The following is a 14,838-nucleotide window of genomic DNA, read 5'->3' as shown; positions in this document are numbered from 1 at the left end:
AAGCCTCTCTGTTCTCCCCGGCCCCAGATCAGGCACTTTCTCTGGGCTCTCCCAGGCCTCTGGGGTTCCTCCATCAAAGACCACTCTTGTCTCTCACTATTAATGTGTTTGTCTCCCCAACTAGACTCCAAGACCTAAGTCACCAGGGATTGCTGGAGCTGTCTCAGTCTGGGCTATGTCCAATGGGAAACATAATGTCTGGCACATGAATGACTGAAGAAAAATGCTTTTATTGAAGTACTTCACAAATAACAACAACAATAATCCTAATGCCATTTATTGAACAGTTACTATATGCCACACATCAGGCATGTTAAATACCTGTTTTCATTTCATTCCAACAACTCTATGAGGTGAGTACTGTTGTTATCCCATTTGTGGGGGAAGGAAACAGAACCTCAGAGAAAGAAAACCACCTGCTCAAAGTCACAAAGCTAATAATAAGAAGCCAGGCACAGTGGCTCACACCTACAATCCCAACACTTTGGGAGGCTGAGGTGCGAGGATCGTTTGAGCCCAAGAGTTCAGGACTAGCCTGGGCGACATGGTGAGACTCTGTCTCTACACACTCAGTTACTTGGGAGGCTGAGGTGGGAGGATCACTTGAGCCCAGGAGGTCGAGGCTGCAGTAAGTAAATTGTGTTGGTACCATTGCACTCCAGCCTGGGTGACAGAGTGAGGCCCCCATCTCAAAAAAAAAAAAAAAAAAAAGTAGTAGTAGTAGAACCAAATTCAAAGCCAAATGATTGGACCCAGACCCTGAGTTCTTAACAGTTACTCAGAAGGCCCGGCACTGATGCTCCTGTCTTGTAATTGTAAATCTGGGTGTAGGTGCATCTCCCCCACCAGACTTGGAGGCCTTCCAGGGCAGGGCCCAGGTTGGCTGCAACCCTGGGTGTCAGGCATTTTAGAGCAAAAGGCCTGGACCAGAACCGAGCTCTGGGAATGTGGTGAGTGGATGAATGCACACATGAATGAACTACCAGCGAATTAGTGAGTGACCCACGCGGCCCCACTCACCCTCGATGAGCCACTCGCAGTTGCCATTGACGCTGTAGTTGCCCGCACCATCCGTCACGAAGCCTGGCGCCTCCCGCAGCACCTGCCGCTGCCCCTTGCAGTCCCCCGCCCGGGCCCCAGGGGACAGCGACCCCAGCACGGCCAAGGCCAAAACCAGTGCCATGGCCAGAACCTTGCCCAGGGCCATCGCCGCCTCCTGCACTGACCCTTAGAGCGGGGACAGGCCGTAAAAACCTGGAGAGGACCCTCTACCCGGGGTGAGGCCCTGCAAATGCGACCTCTATAGGCATAACATGACCTTGTAGATCGAAGAGGTCCCGGAGACCCGGCAGTCCCGGCGAAGGGTACGGCCACTGCTGACAGGCTCTGGAAGCCGAGGGCTGAGCCCTATAGAGCGATGGAAGGCCCTGTATATGGAGTCATTATGGACGGGGCCGAACCCTAGGGACCGTAGGAGTCCCCTATAGACACAGGGCTCCATAGGGGGCCGATCCCATGAACAGTGCCCAGCATTACGGACTCAGGCTGCTGCAGGCCAAACGGACCTTATAGACGGGTGGGTCCCCAGGGGGCGAAGGGCTCTACGGCCCGGCAGGAGCCTCCATAGAGGCTGCGGGCCGGGACAGGCTAGGTTCGGATGGTCCAGGAGAGACTCCTCCAGCCGGGGGCGGGGCGCGAGCGGGTGCCGGGGGCGGAGCCCGTCTTCAGGGGTTCGGGCCTGGACCCCACAGACCCAATCCCTTTGCTCACCCACCCTCGCCTCCCTCCGAAGCCGGATGGGCCAGATCAGAGAGACGAGGGGACGCTTGGGCCAGAGCGGCCGCGGGAAGACCCGCTGTGGGAGGGCGAGGGGGCGGGAGCCGAGCAGCCGCTGTGGGAGGGACGGCGAAGAGGAGGCGAGAAGTTACAGAGCGGCCGGTCAGAGCGGCCCTGGGAGGACTGCGGAGCGCCCAACCCCAACCCTCCATAAAGGGAGACTTCCGGGGAAATCCCCGCCCATTTGTTCCCAACCGCATGCGCAGCAGCGTCCTCCTGGAGGGAGAGAAATACACATATGCGCAGTGCTAAGATCGTAACCCAAACTCTGGGTGCCTGTGGTTCAGCAAAGCATGGGCCACTGGAGGGCGCCTCTACCTCTGAGTGAGGAAAGGAAGGCAAAAATAAAGGAGCGGTGCAAGACCCTGCTAGATGTTTGATCATCTTCAATGTTCCCACATTCTGGGGCAACATAAAGATCAGGTTATACAGGCCCCTGCCTCCGGTTCCAAATTCCCATTTCACAGATGGACACACTGAGGTCCCGAGCCTGACATAGTTCTGGCTCAGCCCCGCCGCTGAACACCATCAAGATGCAAAAGAAGCCATGTTATAGATAAAAACGAATCCTTTTTTATTTTGGCAAGAAGGGGTAAAATGTCTTTCTGCCAGGGACCCGAGGGAAGGCCCCCGGAATGGAGATGCGGCAGATGGAGTACGGGTCCGAGGTCACAGATCCGAGGGAGGGTTTCAGGGTCGAGACCAGCATCGCAATATCCATCCCGGGGTCGCAGAGTCCTGGAGAGTCACAGGCAGGGTCCCGGCGGTCACCACGGGTGTTCCGGAGTCCAGCGGGGTCAGAGGTCTCGAAGGGGGCCAGGGGGCCGGAGGTCACGGAACAGCGGGAGCCCAGAATCCGGCGCCGCTCGGGGCAGGGGCTGAGGGAGGGGACGGGGAGAGCGGCTCCCGCGGGACCGTTTGGCACAGAGGGGAGGGGGGCGGGACGCAGCGTACCCAACCTGGGCGCGCGGGGTGGGAAGGGTCGGGAAGGCCGGGGATGGGCGAGCTCTCGGGCCGGGATAAAGCAGGGGTCCGGAGCCCGGCCGGGGCCCGGTCATGGCCCATGGGGCAGGGGCGGGCAGGGGTGCTCAGACCGGGGGTGCAGTGCCCCCGGCCGTGTGCATGCTGAAGTATTCGGTGAAGCCGGTGTGCGGCGCTGCCGTCTGGGGCACGAGCGGCTGGTAGGGCGGCGTCGGGCCGTCCCAGCCCGAGTCGGCCGCCTTGGGGAACCGAGCGGGAAGTGGGGGGGAGGCTGCGCCCGGCTCGGCCATGGTCACCACGCGGCCCCTCGGGGCCACCGCCGCCGCCACCGCTGTCTCCTCCACCTGCTTCCCGGCCTGGGAGGGGGGTCAGGGTCAGAGGCCGTCCGGGACCCTCGGGGGGCAGATGCGGCCCCGAAGGCCCGTCCCCCTCCCCCGGAGAACCCTTCCACCCCAGGTGTGGACGCACGTTGTCAGTCAGGGAAGGACTGGGTGGCGGGGCGCCTGGGCAGCGGGGCCAGGTACTCAAAGGGCGGCGTCGGGGCGCGCGGGGCGAACTCCGGCGGCGGCCGGGGAGCTGGGGGAGAGCCGCGGAAGGCGGGCGGTGGGGGCACGGCGCAGGGAGTCTGCGGGGGTGTGCGCAACAGCGCCAGAACCCAGTCAGGCAGGGTGGGCGCGGGCGCCAGGGGACGGTCGCGGCGCGGTGTTGGGGCGCGGGGAGTGCGAAAGGCAGGAGGAGGGCTCAGGGGTCCGGGCGCTGGGGGCGGCGGCGGGGCCGGGAGCGGGGTCAGGTACTCCAGGGGCGGCGCCAGCAGCTCCTCGGGCGCTGGGGCCGCGGGGCTTACGGAGGTGGCGGGCGGGGGGATGGAGAAGAGCTCCGTGAAGTTGGGCACCGAGTCGCTGATAAACGTCACGTTCCCATAGACGTGCTGCGGGAAGGCCTTGTCAGCGGATTGGCTCCCTCCGGGTCCAGGGACTCCGGCTGAAGCGATCTGCGACGTGCGCACGTGGTACGGGAAGTTCTTGTTGGCCGCTGATGGGCGGGTCATGATCTGAGGCCAGGGCCAGGAGCAGGTGTGAGAGGCACTGTCAGGCCGGAGGCTGTCCCCATAAACTTGGGGTCCGAAGGATTCCCTTTCAGTTGACATCCACCACACTTCCCTGAAGCCATTCACACTGGATTAGGCGTCCCCTCTGGGCTCTCCAAATGCCCTGGACCCTCACCTTTTCCCTTCAACAAAACTCGGCCTGTGCTTCCTCCATCAGAGGCCTGATCACTGAGCTGTCACTGATTGCTTAGGGTCAGCGTCCTGCACTGTATGATAGCCACTGGCTGCATGTAGCTTAAATTTAATCAAAATAAAATTTAAATTTTGGTCACACTCCTCACTACACACTCACTATGCACTACCCACATTCAAGTGCTCAACAGCCACATGTGGTTAGTAGCTCCCATATTGGAAAGTGCAGGTAATAGGATATTTTCATAAATACAGAAAGTTCAATTGGACAGCAACTAATAGACTCTAAAATGTCTCGATGAGGCAGGAACCAGACTCTTCTGTTCCCTACTGAGTCCCTAGTACCTTCTAGAACCATGCCTGGCGCATATAAGCCTTCAGTAAATATTGGTGGGCAAGGCGCCATGGCTCACGCCTGTAATCCCAGCACTTGGGGAGGCCGAGGCGGGCGGATCACCTGAGGTCAGGAGTTTGAGACCAGCATGGCCAACATGGTGAAACTCCATCTCTACTAAAAATACAAAAATTAGCCAGGTGTGGTGGTGCGCCTGTAATCCCAGCTACTTGGGAGGCTAAGGCAGGAGAATTGCTTGAACCCAGGAGGCAGAGGTTGCAGTGAGCCGAGATCATGCCACTGCACTCCAACCTGGACGACAGAGGAAGATTCCATCTCAAAAAAAAAAAATTTAAAATAAATAAATAAATAAATAAATATTGGTGGAATGTAGGGATGTCTGGTACCAGTTAGTCTGATAGGCTGTGAAGGCAGGGACTGGGTGTGACTCCACCGCCATATCCCGGAAACCTAACACAGCTCTTCTAAGGTTGTGCTGAAAAAAATGAACAAGGAGCTGAAAGCAATGAGCGTTGAGATACCCAGGTGGAGCTGTGCTGAGCTAACGTGAGCATCCTTAGGAAGGAAGCTGGCTGAGATACAGCAGGAAGGGCGCTGTGCTTGCCGTTCTGAGCCTGCATCCCGCCTCTGGGATCTGTAGCTCACTGAGTATGGGATCTGGGGCATGTTGATTAAACTCCCTGAGCCTCGCTGTGGGGAAAAGGGACTGTAGCGCCTACTTGGAAAGATGAGAGGGTGGAAATGAAAACCACTGGTGCAGAGCCCAGCACATGATGGGTTCTCAGCATTTCTCCTCTTTCTGTCCCTTTCTGACTTCCTGCAGAGCTTCAGGATAGACCAGCCTGGGAAGGTGAGCGAGTCTGTACCTATGTCAGCCTCTGAGGCAAAGGATGGGGACCTGTCCCCTCCCTCGGTGGCTGGGCCCACTCCCTACACGGGGTACGTTGTAGATCCCTGGAGTCAGAAGCTGGGACACTGGGTCATGCCTGTTGCCCTTTCTGGTTCCCCTTCATTTCAGACCTTGTGGTCTGCTGGAGAAGGATAGGGTTCAAAGTATTTGCCTGCCGCCAAAGGCCACGGAGCCCTGGCACGTCACTTCTCCTCTCTGGGCCTTAGCTTCCCCGCTCTGTGTAGTGGGAACAATGTCAATTATCCACCCTCTCCTGGAGCTGCTCTGACAATTAAACAAGAGGGCAGGAGTAAATGCATATGGATGTTCCTAGAATGAAACAGACTGGTTCAAGACAGGTGCCCAGTGAACAATTGATGAATAAATTAATGAATATTAGAACTGTCACCAAGAATGTCAGATAGGATGTGAACCAGGGCAAAGAATAGACGTGGTGGGGGCCAGGCGCAGTGGCTCACTCCTGTAATCCCAGCACTTTGGGAGGCCGAGGCGGGCGGATCATGAGGTCAGGAGATCGAGACCATCCTGGCCAACATAGTGAAACCCCGTCTCTACTAAAAATACAAAAAAAATTTGCTAGGCGTGGTGGTGGGCGCCTGTAGTCCCAGCTACTAGGGAGGCTGAGGCAGGGGAATGGCATGAACTTGGGAGGCAGAAGTTGCAGTGAGCCGAGATCGCACCTCTGCACTCCAGCCTGGGCAACAGAGCAAGACTCCGTCTCAAAAAAAAAAAAAAAAAAAAACCACTTAACCGGGCATGGTGGCGTGCTCCTGTAGTCCCAGCTACTCCGGAGGCTGAGGCAGGAGAACCTGGGAGGTGGAGGTTGCAGTGAGCCAAGATCGCGCCACTGCACTCCAGCCTAGTGACAGAGTGAGACTCCGTCTCAAAAAAAAAAAAAAAAGATGTGGTGCTGTACCCTCCTGTTGCCGACCCAGGAGCCCAAAAGCTTCACCCTGTGCCACCCCAGATGCTTCTTCCTGAACAGTGGCCTGTGATGGCAGAATTTGGGCAGGGGCAGGGGGAGAGTGGAGAGATCAAGGAGGGTGGGGAAGGCAGTGGGGATACAAAAGAGAAATGGAAGAATCTGGGGACACAGGGTCAGGAATGGAAATGGGAAGGGAGGGCAAAGAGAGAGGATGGGGGTTGAGGAAAGAAGCCAGGACACAAAGTTGGAGAGGGGAACAGAAGAAAATGGGCATGGGCCCGGCGAGGTGGCCCATGCCTGTAATCCCAGCACTTTGGGAGGCTGAGACGGGTGGATCACCTGAGGTCAGGAGTTTGAGACTAGCCTGACCAACATGGTGAAACCCTGCCTTTACTAAAAATACAAAAAATTAGCTGCATGTGGTGGTGGGCACCTGTAATCCCAGCTACTCGGGAGGCTGAGGCAGAAGAATCACTTGAACCCGGGAGGCGGAGTTTGCAGGGAGCCGAGATCAAGCCATTGCACTCCAGCCTGGGAGACAGAGTGAGACTCTGTCTCGAAAAAAAAAAAGAGAAGAAAATGGACTCTGAGGAGCACAATAGAGGAGACTGCAGGAACCAAGCAGGCTCTCAATAAAGGGAGAATGACTAAAAGGAAAATGGATCAAGACCTCAGAACAGGAGGTCCAGCAGATCAGGTGTAGGAGCCTCACACATCTTCTGCCCTCGGGTCCTCCCCTCCACCCCCCACAGATGCCCATCCTCACCAGAAACACGCCATGGGCGTACAAGTGGATCCCCAGCTGGATGCCATTGACAATCTTCTCCCGGGCCCACTTGGGGATGCCGAAATTGGCAATCAGGGCCATGACAGGAACCGCAAAGAACCTGAAGGGGAAGTATTGGGTCAGTAGAGACACTGCTCCTGTCCTCCACCCCACCCTATAGCCCCACCTCGCCTGCCATGTACACACGCAGACCCCAGGCAGGTCCCAAACTGGAGGGAAGCCAGTGTGACCTTCAGAAGCCAGAGACTGAAATGGGGCAGGACTGGACTGGGAAATTCTGAGGGGCAAGAAGGAGGTTCAATTTAACTCAGTTCCACACCACCCCAAATCCTGGCATCTGATAAGAAATCAATAGACAGCCCGGGCACGGTGGCTCACGCCTATAATCCCAGCACTTTGGGAGGCCAAGGCAGGCAGATCACCTGAGGTTGGGAGTTCGAGACCAGCCTGACCAACATGGTGACACCCCGTCTCTATTAAAAATACAAAATTAGCTGGGTGTGGTGGCATGCACCTGTAATCCCAGCTATTTGGAAGGCTGAAGCAGGGGAATCACGTGAACCTGGGAGGCGGAGGCTGCAGTGAGCGGAGATTGTACCACTGCACTCCAGCCTGGGCAACAAGAGCGAAACTCCATCTCAAAAAAAAAAAAAAAAAAAGAAGAAATCAGGCCGGGCACAGTGGCTTATGCCTGTAATCCCAGTACTTTGGGAGGCCAAGGCAGGTGGATCACCTGAGGTCAGGAGTTCCAGACCAGCCTGGCCAATATGGTGGAAACCACATCTCTACTAAAAATACATAAATTAGCAGGGTGTGGTGGCATGCGCCTGTAGTCCCAGCTACTCGGGAGGCTGAGGCAGAAGAATCACTTGAATTTAGGAGGCGGAGGTTGCAGTGAGCTGAGATCGTGCCACTGCACTCCAGCCTGGGCGACAGAGCAAGACTCCGTCTCAAAAACAAAAAACAAACAAACAAAAAAAAATAGATATTTGACGAATGAATGAACAAATGATAATAAGAAGTAAGGACTTATTGCATGCCAGGCCTGTTTCTAAGCATTTGATGTATATAAACTCATTTAACTCTCACAGTGACTCTATGAAGCAGATAAAATTTCCATCCCCATTAAAAGGTGAGGAAACTGAGGCAGAGAGAAGTTAATGGGCTCGTCTGAGGTCACATCATCTATAAGCTTTAGAGCTGAGATCTGAACCCGGACAGTCTGGCTCAGAATCTGCCAACCTTATTGCTATGTTATGGTGAACGATAATAATTACAATAGTTTTGGGTGTTTTTTTGTTTTGTTTGTTGTTGTTGTTTTTTGTTTGTTTTTGAGATGGAGTCTCACTCTGTTGCCCAGGCTAGAGTACAGGGGCACGATCTCAACTCACTGCAACCTCAGTCTCCCAGGTTCAAGCTATTCTCCTGCTTCAGCTTCCCGAGTAACTGGCAGTACAGGCGTGCACCACCATGCCTGGCTAATTTTTTTGTATTTTTAGTAAAGACGGGGTTTTACCATGTTGGCCAGGCTGGTCTTGAACTCCTGATCTCAAATGATCCACCCACCTTGGCCTCCCAAAGTGCTGGGGGTACAGGCATGAGCCAGCGCACCCAGTCTACAATAGTTTTTTACTGAACATTTACTATGTGCCAGACACTCGGCCCTCATATAGTGGCCTATGCTTGCTCAAGATATCCCTTTGAGGAGATCCTGTTTTTTTTTTTTTTTGAAGATGAAGTCTTGCTCTGTTGCCCAGGTTGGAATGCAATGATGTGATCTCGGCTCACTGCAACCTCTGCCTCCCGGGTTCAAGCAATTCTCCTGCCTCAGCCTCCTGAGTAGCTGGGATTACAGGTGCCCACCAGCATGCCCGGCTAATTTTTTTATTTTTTGGTAGAGATGGGGTTTCACCATGTTGATCAGGCTGGTCTCGAACTCCTGACCTCAGGTGATCCACCCGCCTTGGCCTCCCAAAGTGATGGGATTACAGGTGTGAGCCACCACGCCCGGCCTGAGGAGATCCTGTTTGGTTTTTTTTTTTTTTTTTTGAGATGGAGTCTTGCTCTGTGGCCCAGGCTGGAGTGCAGTGGTGCGATCTTGGTTCACTGCAAGCTCCGCCTCCTGGGTTCACGCCATTTTCCTGCCTCAGCCTCCCCAGCAGCTGGGACTACAGGTGCATGCTGCCATGGCTGGCTAATTTTTTTGTATTTTTAGTAGAGACGGGGTTTCACCATGTTAGCCAGGATGGTCTCAATCTCCTGACCTTGTGATACGCCCACCTCGGCCTCCCAAAGGGCTGGGATTACAGGCGTGAGCCACCACGCCTGGCGAGATCCTGTTGTTTTATGGGTAAACCTGATGCACTTCTTGTGAAAGTAATTTTTCACAAAGTGAGTAAGTGGCAGATTCTGGGCAACAGCTGCCTGAGTGAAAAGTCCATCTCCCTCACTATGGAGGGTCTGAGATGGGGGGCAACCACTTCTGGGGAGCCCCGAGAGGGAGGCAGGGACAGGCTGGGGCCCACCAATTCTCACCAGAGGGTATAGGCAGCAAAGAAGGGCACATAAAAAGGCTGCTTCTCAGGAAAGTGTCGCAGTGAGACAAGCACAGCATAGCAGAACCACACGTAGGCCGCCACCTGCAGTCCAATGAGCCCGTAGCCGGCCGGCGACTCATACGTGTACAGTACCTGGCCTGGGTCAAAGAACTAGACCCGCAGGAGAGGGTCCATCACAGCCTGGCCTCCTCCCCTCTATTAGGGTCCCCGGACCCCACCCCTGGGCACTTGGGAACAGAGGTACTCGGTCAGAACACAAGCAACAGGAGAGCCAGGCACGGAGACAGAAGCATATTGAGGTAGAGAGAGAGGGTGAAAAAGACAGGAAGAGAATAAATCAGTTACTGTTTGCTCAACACAGGGCTAAACCCCTCTCATGTGTGAGTTTTTCCATCAGCATCTACTCAACGAGGTAGGTCTTATTACTGCTCCATCTCACAGAAGAGGAAACTAAGGCTAAGAGGGAAGCCCTTTGGCCAAAGCCATACAGACGATAGAAAGCCTTAGAGGGGCTCCATGGGGTAGGTAAGATCCTCCCAATTTTCCAAGAAGAAAATGGGCCCAGAGACAGGGGTCGTCACCCAAGGTCAGGCAGCTAGGAAGTGGGAGAGCTGGTGTGGAATCCAGGTCTGTGTGACTCCTGAACTCTTAGTCACGATATTGAGCACAAATGTGACAGACAGTGAGAGACAGAGGGAGGAGAAAGAAAGCTGCTGCGGGATGGTGAAGAGAGGAGGAATCACTTAGACAGATGGGAAAGCAGAAAATCGAAGAGTGGGAGAGAGAGCGAGCCAGCAGGAGCAGGATGTGGGCAAGGGCGAGCAGACAGGTCAAGGGGGAGGCGGCGCCAAAAGCAGGGGAAGGCAGGGCCCGGCCAGGGGCCAGTCGGACTCACTTCCGCCTCGTAGATGAGCAGCACCACATGGGTGAGCGTGTACAGGGTCATGTAGACAGACAACTTCACGGAGCCCGCGTGGCTGATGCGGCCCCTGGCAGCAGGCCATGAGGGGAGACAGCAGGGTGGGGGCCGTCAGGGAGGAGGATGCACCCAGCCCCCCAACCCTGCCCCTGCCCTGCTCCCCCACCAGCCGCCCCACGAGCACGCCCTGCCCGGGCACCGTGTCACCGTGAATCCCTTCCCCAGGAGGATAAGCATCAGCAGGAAGATGAGGAAGCTGGAGGAGAAGAGCAGCTTGGCTGGGAGAAGGGAGGAGGGGGCGGCTCAGAGCCAGGCTCAGACCTGATGCCCAACCTGAGCCCTGGGCTCCACCCTCTCCCCACCCAGCTTCATTCTCACCCAAGATCTTCACACTCTCGTTGCCAATGCCATCGGTGGCATATTGACCCCAGTAGATGCAGAAAAATAGGAGGCTCAGGACTGAGGGGAGGATGGGCAGATAAGAAAGGATAGAAAGCAGCTCTGGGGCATCACTGTTCTCTAGCACTACCATCCAGGCAGTCTGAATCCCGCCTCCTCCCTTAGGACTCCAGACCTTCTACCCCGACTCACCTGCTAGGAGAATCTGGAGTCCAGCCCCCAACCCTGCTCCCCAAGGACCCAGGGGCCCAGGCCCCCACCCCCTACCCCCTCAGACCCAGGGGTCCAGGCCCTCACCCCCTCCCCCCTCAGACCCAGGGGTCCAGGCCCCCACCCCCTCCTCCTTCAGACCCAGGGGCTCAGGCCCCCAGACCCTCCTCCTCCAGGACCCAGGGGTCCAGACCCCCAGCTCCTCCTCCCTCAGACCCAGGAGTCCAGGCTCCCAGCCCCTCCTCCCCCAGACTCAGGAGTTCAGGCCTTTATTGTTTTGTTTTGTTTTGTTTTGTTTTTTGAGACAGAGTCTCTCTCTGTCACCCAGGTTGGAATGCAGTGGCGTGATCTCGGCTCACTGCAATCTCCACCTCCCGGGTTCAAGCAATTCTCCTGCCTCAGCCTCCTGAGTAGCTGGGATTACACGCACACGCCACCATGTCCAGCTAATTTTTGTATTTTTAGTGGAGACAGGGTTTCACCATGTTGGTCAGGTTGGTCTTGAACTCCTGGCCTCGTGATCCGCCCACCTTGGCCTCCCCAAGTGCTAGGATTACAGGTGTGAGCCACCGTGTCCAGCCTAGTTCCGGCCTTTATACTCCCTCAAGGACCCAGGGGTGTCAGGTCCCACCCCCTCCTCCCCCAGGAACCAGGGGTCCAGGTCCCCAGCCCATCCTCCCCCAGGAACTAGGGCTCCAGCCCCTTCTCCCCCAGGACCCAGGAGTCGAAGCCCCCAGGCCCTTCTCCCTTGGACCCAGGAGTCCAGGCCCCCAGCCCCTCCTCCCCCAGGACCCAGGAGTCCAGGCCCCCAGGCATTCCTCTTAGGCCCAGGTGTCTGGCCCCAAGTGCCTTCTCTTTCAGAACCCAAAAGTTGGGACACGGAACCTCACCCTCTACTCCTGCTGCGGCCATGAACATTTTATAAGTTGTGTGGAGCAACTGACGACCTTTCAGCAAATCTAGGAAGCAAGGTAGGGAAAGGCTGTCCACAGGCAGAAAGGGAGAGCAGCTCACCTCCCCCAACCCTGCTCCCTCCTATCTCTTCCCCCACACCCCATGTGCCAGACTCACATCCAAAGTAACAAGAGAGGAAGAAGATGAGGATGAAGATGAGGAGGAAGGTCACATCTGTCTCCAGGATCCCTGCCGATTTGGTAGGAGGAGTAAGGTTCATTCAGGTGGATGTCCCCTCAGTGGGCACCCAGCTCTGGTGTCCCACAGAGAGCCTGGTTTCTAGGTCCCCACGTGCTCACCAAACTCATCAGCGGAGAAGTGTCGTGTCCAGAAGGACTTGCCATTGGTGAGGACCATCTCATACTCCAGCTGCAATCCATCACCCTGTGGGGGGTAGGGAGGCCTAAGGGGGGCCCTGGGCAAGTTGGGGGTTGGCAGGAAGGCAAAGAGAAGGTGGTCCAGGTGGCCACCCCAGCCCCTTACCCCACACTTGCTGAGCGCAATATACCACCACCGTTCACGCACTGAGCGGAAGCTGCGGCCACTGGAGCAGCTCAGGTAGCGGGTTCCCTCCTCTGATACCACCTGGGGACAAACGAGAAGGCTGAAGCCTGTCCTTGATGCCCCGAAGGCTTCATCCTTCAGCACCTGCCCACTCCCCCAGGCTGAGCCTGCACCTGACAGCCGGACCAGGCATACTGGGTGGTGAGGTTGATGACCTGGTTGTTCTCCGGCCGGATCACTGACTCCTTGGCCAGGCAGTCCTGGGGAAGGCAGGGACAGGGTCACTCCCCCGGCCAGCAACGACCTTCTCCCCTCTCCCCCTATGCCCTCTTCACAGCCCTCACCTTGTCCCCTGCCTTGTACACGGCTGGCCACTGGGATGGGTCATCAAAATAGAGGAGGATGTTCTGACAGCACTTGGCCTGCAGACCAGAGATGTTGGGGACCGGGAGCTGGGGCAGCCTGTGCCTTTGGAGGCCAAGGGAAGTACCCAGCCTCAGCATGGCGAGTGTTGGGGGAGACTCACCTCAGGGTAGCGGAAACGGAAGTCCAGTCGGCCGTAATCCGAGAGGAAACAAAATCTTGTCAGGAACACCCAGTCCTGAAAAAGGGGCCCAGTCTGACCCTCCGCTGAGTCCTTCAAGAACTCTTTACTCCATAGACCCCCAACTTTTCTTCCCTACCCCCCAGGTACCTGGCTTCCCAAGTACTAGAAGGAGACCAGGTCACCTCCAAACTCCTTCCCTGATCCCGTCACTGTGGGTCCAGGATTCCTGCCGCCCTGATTTTCTCCCTCCATTGCCCCCCCAAGTTTCCTCCCCTCCATTCAAACACTCCTCCCTGCATTTCCCGGGATCTTTCTGGGGAGAAAGACCTTAGGGGCCAGATGCTCATCCTGGCCACCTCATGTCCTGGCCAATATCTAACCCCGTTCCCCCAATATCCACACTCCCCTGCACCCCACCCCGTGCTCCCAAAGACCATCCCGCGCGGGGGAATCTTCCAAACGGCCCCCTCCCGGTCCTGAGCGGGAGTGTGGCGGCGAGCTCGGGGCTCTCTGCTGAGTGAAAAGTGCTGTCCCTTCAGCACCACCTCTGCACCACCCTTCCCAAACTCTGACTCTCCCAACCCGCTCCCCCTCCCCGCTCAGCTCTGACCTCAACGTCCCTCCTACAACCCCCAGGTCTGGCCGCGACCCTACGGCTCCCCTTAGCCTCGACTCTGGCCCAGTCCCCCATCGCCCTCGGCCCCACTCCCCCGAGGCTCCCGGAGTCCGCCAGGAGGGGCGGCAGGGGGCGAGGCGGTACCCGCTCCCCTCGCCTCCCTTGCGTCCCCCGGGGGCCGGCGGGCCGCAGAGGAGGGCTCGGCATGCTCACCTCCTTGGAACTGAGGTTGCCCCGCACGTACTTGGCCCGGGCGCGGGGGGGCAGTGACAGCAGCAGGAGCAGCAGCGGCGGCAGCAGGCGGCGCAGCGCGGGCGCGCGCAGGGGCTCCATTCCGCCCGCTCCGGCCCCGGCTCCGCTCCGGCTCCCGCACTGGCCCGGCAATGGAGGCGAGAGCGCGCGGGCTGGCCAGCGCGCGCCCCCGATTAAAGGGGCCGCCGGGCGCCGCGCTCCCTGCCCCCTCCTCCAAGAGGGCCCAACCTGACTCCTATCTTCTCCGCGTGGGAGGGGGACGTTCATCCTCTGTCACCCCGCCCCAGCCCTCCCCTCCTGGAGTCCCGTAGATACCTATGGTTTCCTGTGTCCTAAACTGAACTCACGTCTTCCAAAGCCATGCCTCCTCCAGACTGCCTTCTCCGGATCCCCAGACCCATGCTCTGTCCTGGCCTCCCCTCAATGTAGTCCCCAAACTAATTATTTTTTGAGACGAGTCTTGCTTTGTCACCCAGGCTGGAGTGCAGTGGCGCGACCTCGGCTCACTGCAACCTCCACCTCCCAGGTTCAAGCGATTCTCCTGCCTCAGCCTCCTGAGTAGCAGGGATTACAGGCACCCACCACCACGCCCGGATGATTTTTTCGTATTTTTAGTAGAGACAGGGTTTCACCATGTTGGCCAGGCTGGTTTCAAACTTCTAACCTAAAGTGATCTGCTCACCTCGGCCTCCCAGAGTGCTAGGATTACAGGCGTGAGCCACCGCGCCTGGCCAACAAGTCTTTGATTGCCCATCACCACCTCTATTGCAGCCATCCCCAGCTGTGTCCATCCTGGAGTTGCCAGCGTTCTAGATCTGATGCACCCTGCAAAGTGCCCATGGAGG

At 57.1% G+C, this 14,838-nt stretch overlaps 2 protein-coding genes across 7 annotated transcripts in view, besides 6 other annotated features; both read right to left on the bottom strand.

The window, feature by feature from the left end:
* The window catches only part of MEGF8 (multiple EGF like domains 8), a 53,131-nt gene extending 51,315 nt beyond the window's left edge, over positions 1 to 1,816 (bottom strand). For both annotated transcript variants that reach the window (NM_001271938.2, NM_001410.3), the window contains exon 1: positions 1,021 to 1,816. In NM_001271938.2, the coding sequence (NP_001258867.1) occupies positions 1,021 to 1,207 (187 nt within the window). In that variant the 5' untranslated portion in view covers positions 1,208 to 1,816. The remainder of the gene's footprint in view (positions 1 to 1,020) is intronic.
* Positions 1,151 to 1,220: a silencer, noted in NCBI's record as "silent region_10711". NCBI's record gives its function as "represses an Ori minimal core promoter by ATAC-STARR-seq in GM12878 lymphoblastoid cells {active_cell/tissue: GM12878}" and the evidence as "EXISTENCE:reporter gene assay evidence [ECO:0000049][PMID:35858748]".
* Positions 1,231 to 1,300: a silencer, noted in NCBI's record as "silent region_10710". NCBI's record gives its function as "represses an Ori minimal core promoter by ATAC-STARR-seq in GM12878 lymphoblastoid cells {active_cell/tissue: GM12878}" and the evidence as "EXISTENCE:reporter gene assay evidence [ECO:0000049][PMID:35858748]".
* Positions 1,521 to 1,660: a silencer, noted in NCBI's record as "silent region_10709". NCBI's record gives its function as "represses an Ori minimal core promoter by ATAC-STARR-seq in GM12878 lymphoblastoid cells {active_cell/tissue: GM12878}" and the evidence as "EXISTENCE:reporter gene assay evidence [ECO:0000049][PMID:35858748]".
* Positions 1,701 to 1,890: a silencer, noted in NCBI's record as "silent region_10708". NCBI's record gives its function as "represses an Ori minimal core promoter by ATAC-STARR-seq in GM12878 lymphoblastoid cells {active_cell/tissue: GM12878}" and the evidence as "EXISTENCE:reporter gene assay evidence [ECO:0000049][PMID:35858748]".
* TMEM145 (transmembrane protein 145) lies at positions 2,387 to 14,142 on the bottom strand. 5 transcript variants are annotated; one of them, NM_001366910.1, is made up of 15 exons: positions 13,955 to 14,142; positions 13,105 to 13,179; positions 12,923 to 13,000; positions 12,752 to 12,838; positions 12,558 to 12,659; positions 12,374 to 12,458; positions 12,192 to 12,263; positions 12,011 to 12,079; positions 10,890 to 10,970; positions 10,711 to 10,789; positions 10,488 to 10,581; positions 9,570 to 9,742; positions 7,014 to 7,134; positions 3,662 to 3,868; positions 2,387 to 3,173 (listed from the first exon to the last, which is right to left on the bottom strand). In NM_001366910.1, exons 1-15 carry the CDS (start codon positions 14,072 to 14,074, stop codon positions 2,925 to 2,927), a joined length of 1,692 nt encoding a protein of 563 aa, NP_001353839.1. In that variant the 5' UTR covers positions 14,075 to 14,142; the 3' UTR covers positions 2,387 to 2,924. The 5 variants fall into 5 exon arrangements, with proteins under 5 accessions (NP_001353839.1, XP_011525093.1, NP_775904.2 ...); XM_011526791.4 differs by having other exon boundaries at positions 12,600 to 12,659; NM_173633.3 differs by having other exon boundaries at positions 2,387 to 2,714; positions 12,600 to 12,659.
* Positions 12,302 to 12,802: an enhancer, noted in NCBI's record as "H3K4me1 hESC enhancer chr19:42818801-42819301 (GRCh37/hg19 assembly coordinates)". NCBI's record gives its function as "activates a minimal SCP1, AML or CMV promoter by ChIP-STARR-seq in primed H9 embryonic stem cells {active_cell/tissue: H9 hESC(primed)}" and the evidence as "EXISTENCE:reporter gene assay evidence [ECO:0000049][PMID:30033119]".
* Positions 13,904 to 14,153: a silencer, noted in NCBI's record as "silent region_10707". NCBI's record gives its function as "represses an Ori minimal core promoter by ATAC-STARR-seq in GM12878 lymphoblastoid cells {active_cell/tissue: GM12878}" and the evidence as "EXISTENCE:reporter gene assay evidence [ECO:0000049][PMID:35858748]".

Source organism: Homo sapiens, chromosome 19 (assembly GCF_000001405.40).
Source record: "Homo sapiens chromosome 19, GRCh38.p14 Primary Assembly".
NCBI lineage: Eukaryota > Metazoa > Chordata > Mammalia > Primates > Hominidae > Homo > Homo sapiens.
Note: the sequence above shows the minus strand (reverse complement) of the source record. Positions and strands in the feature narration are given on the sequence as shown.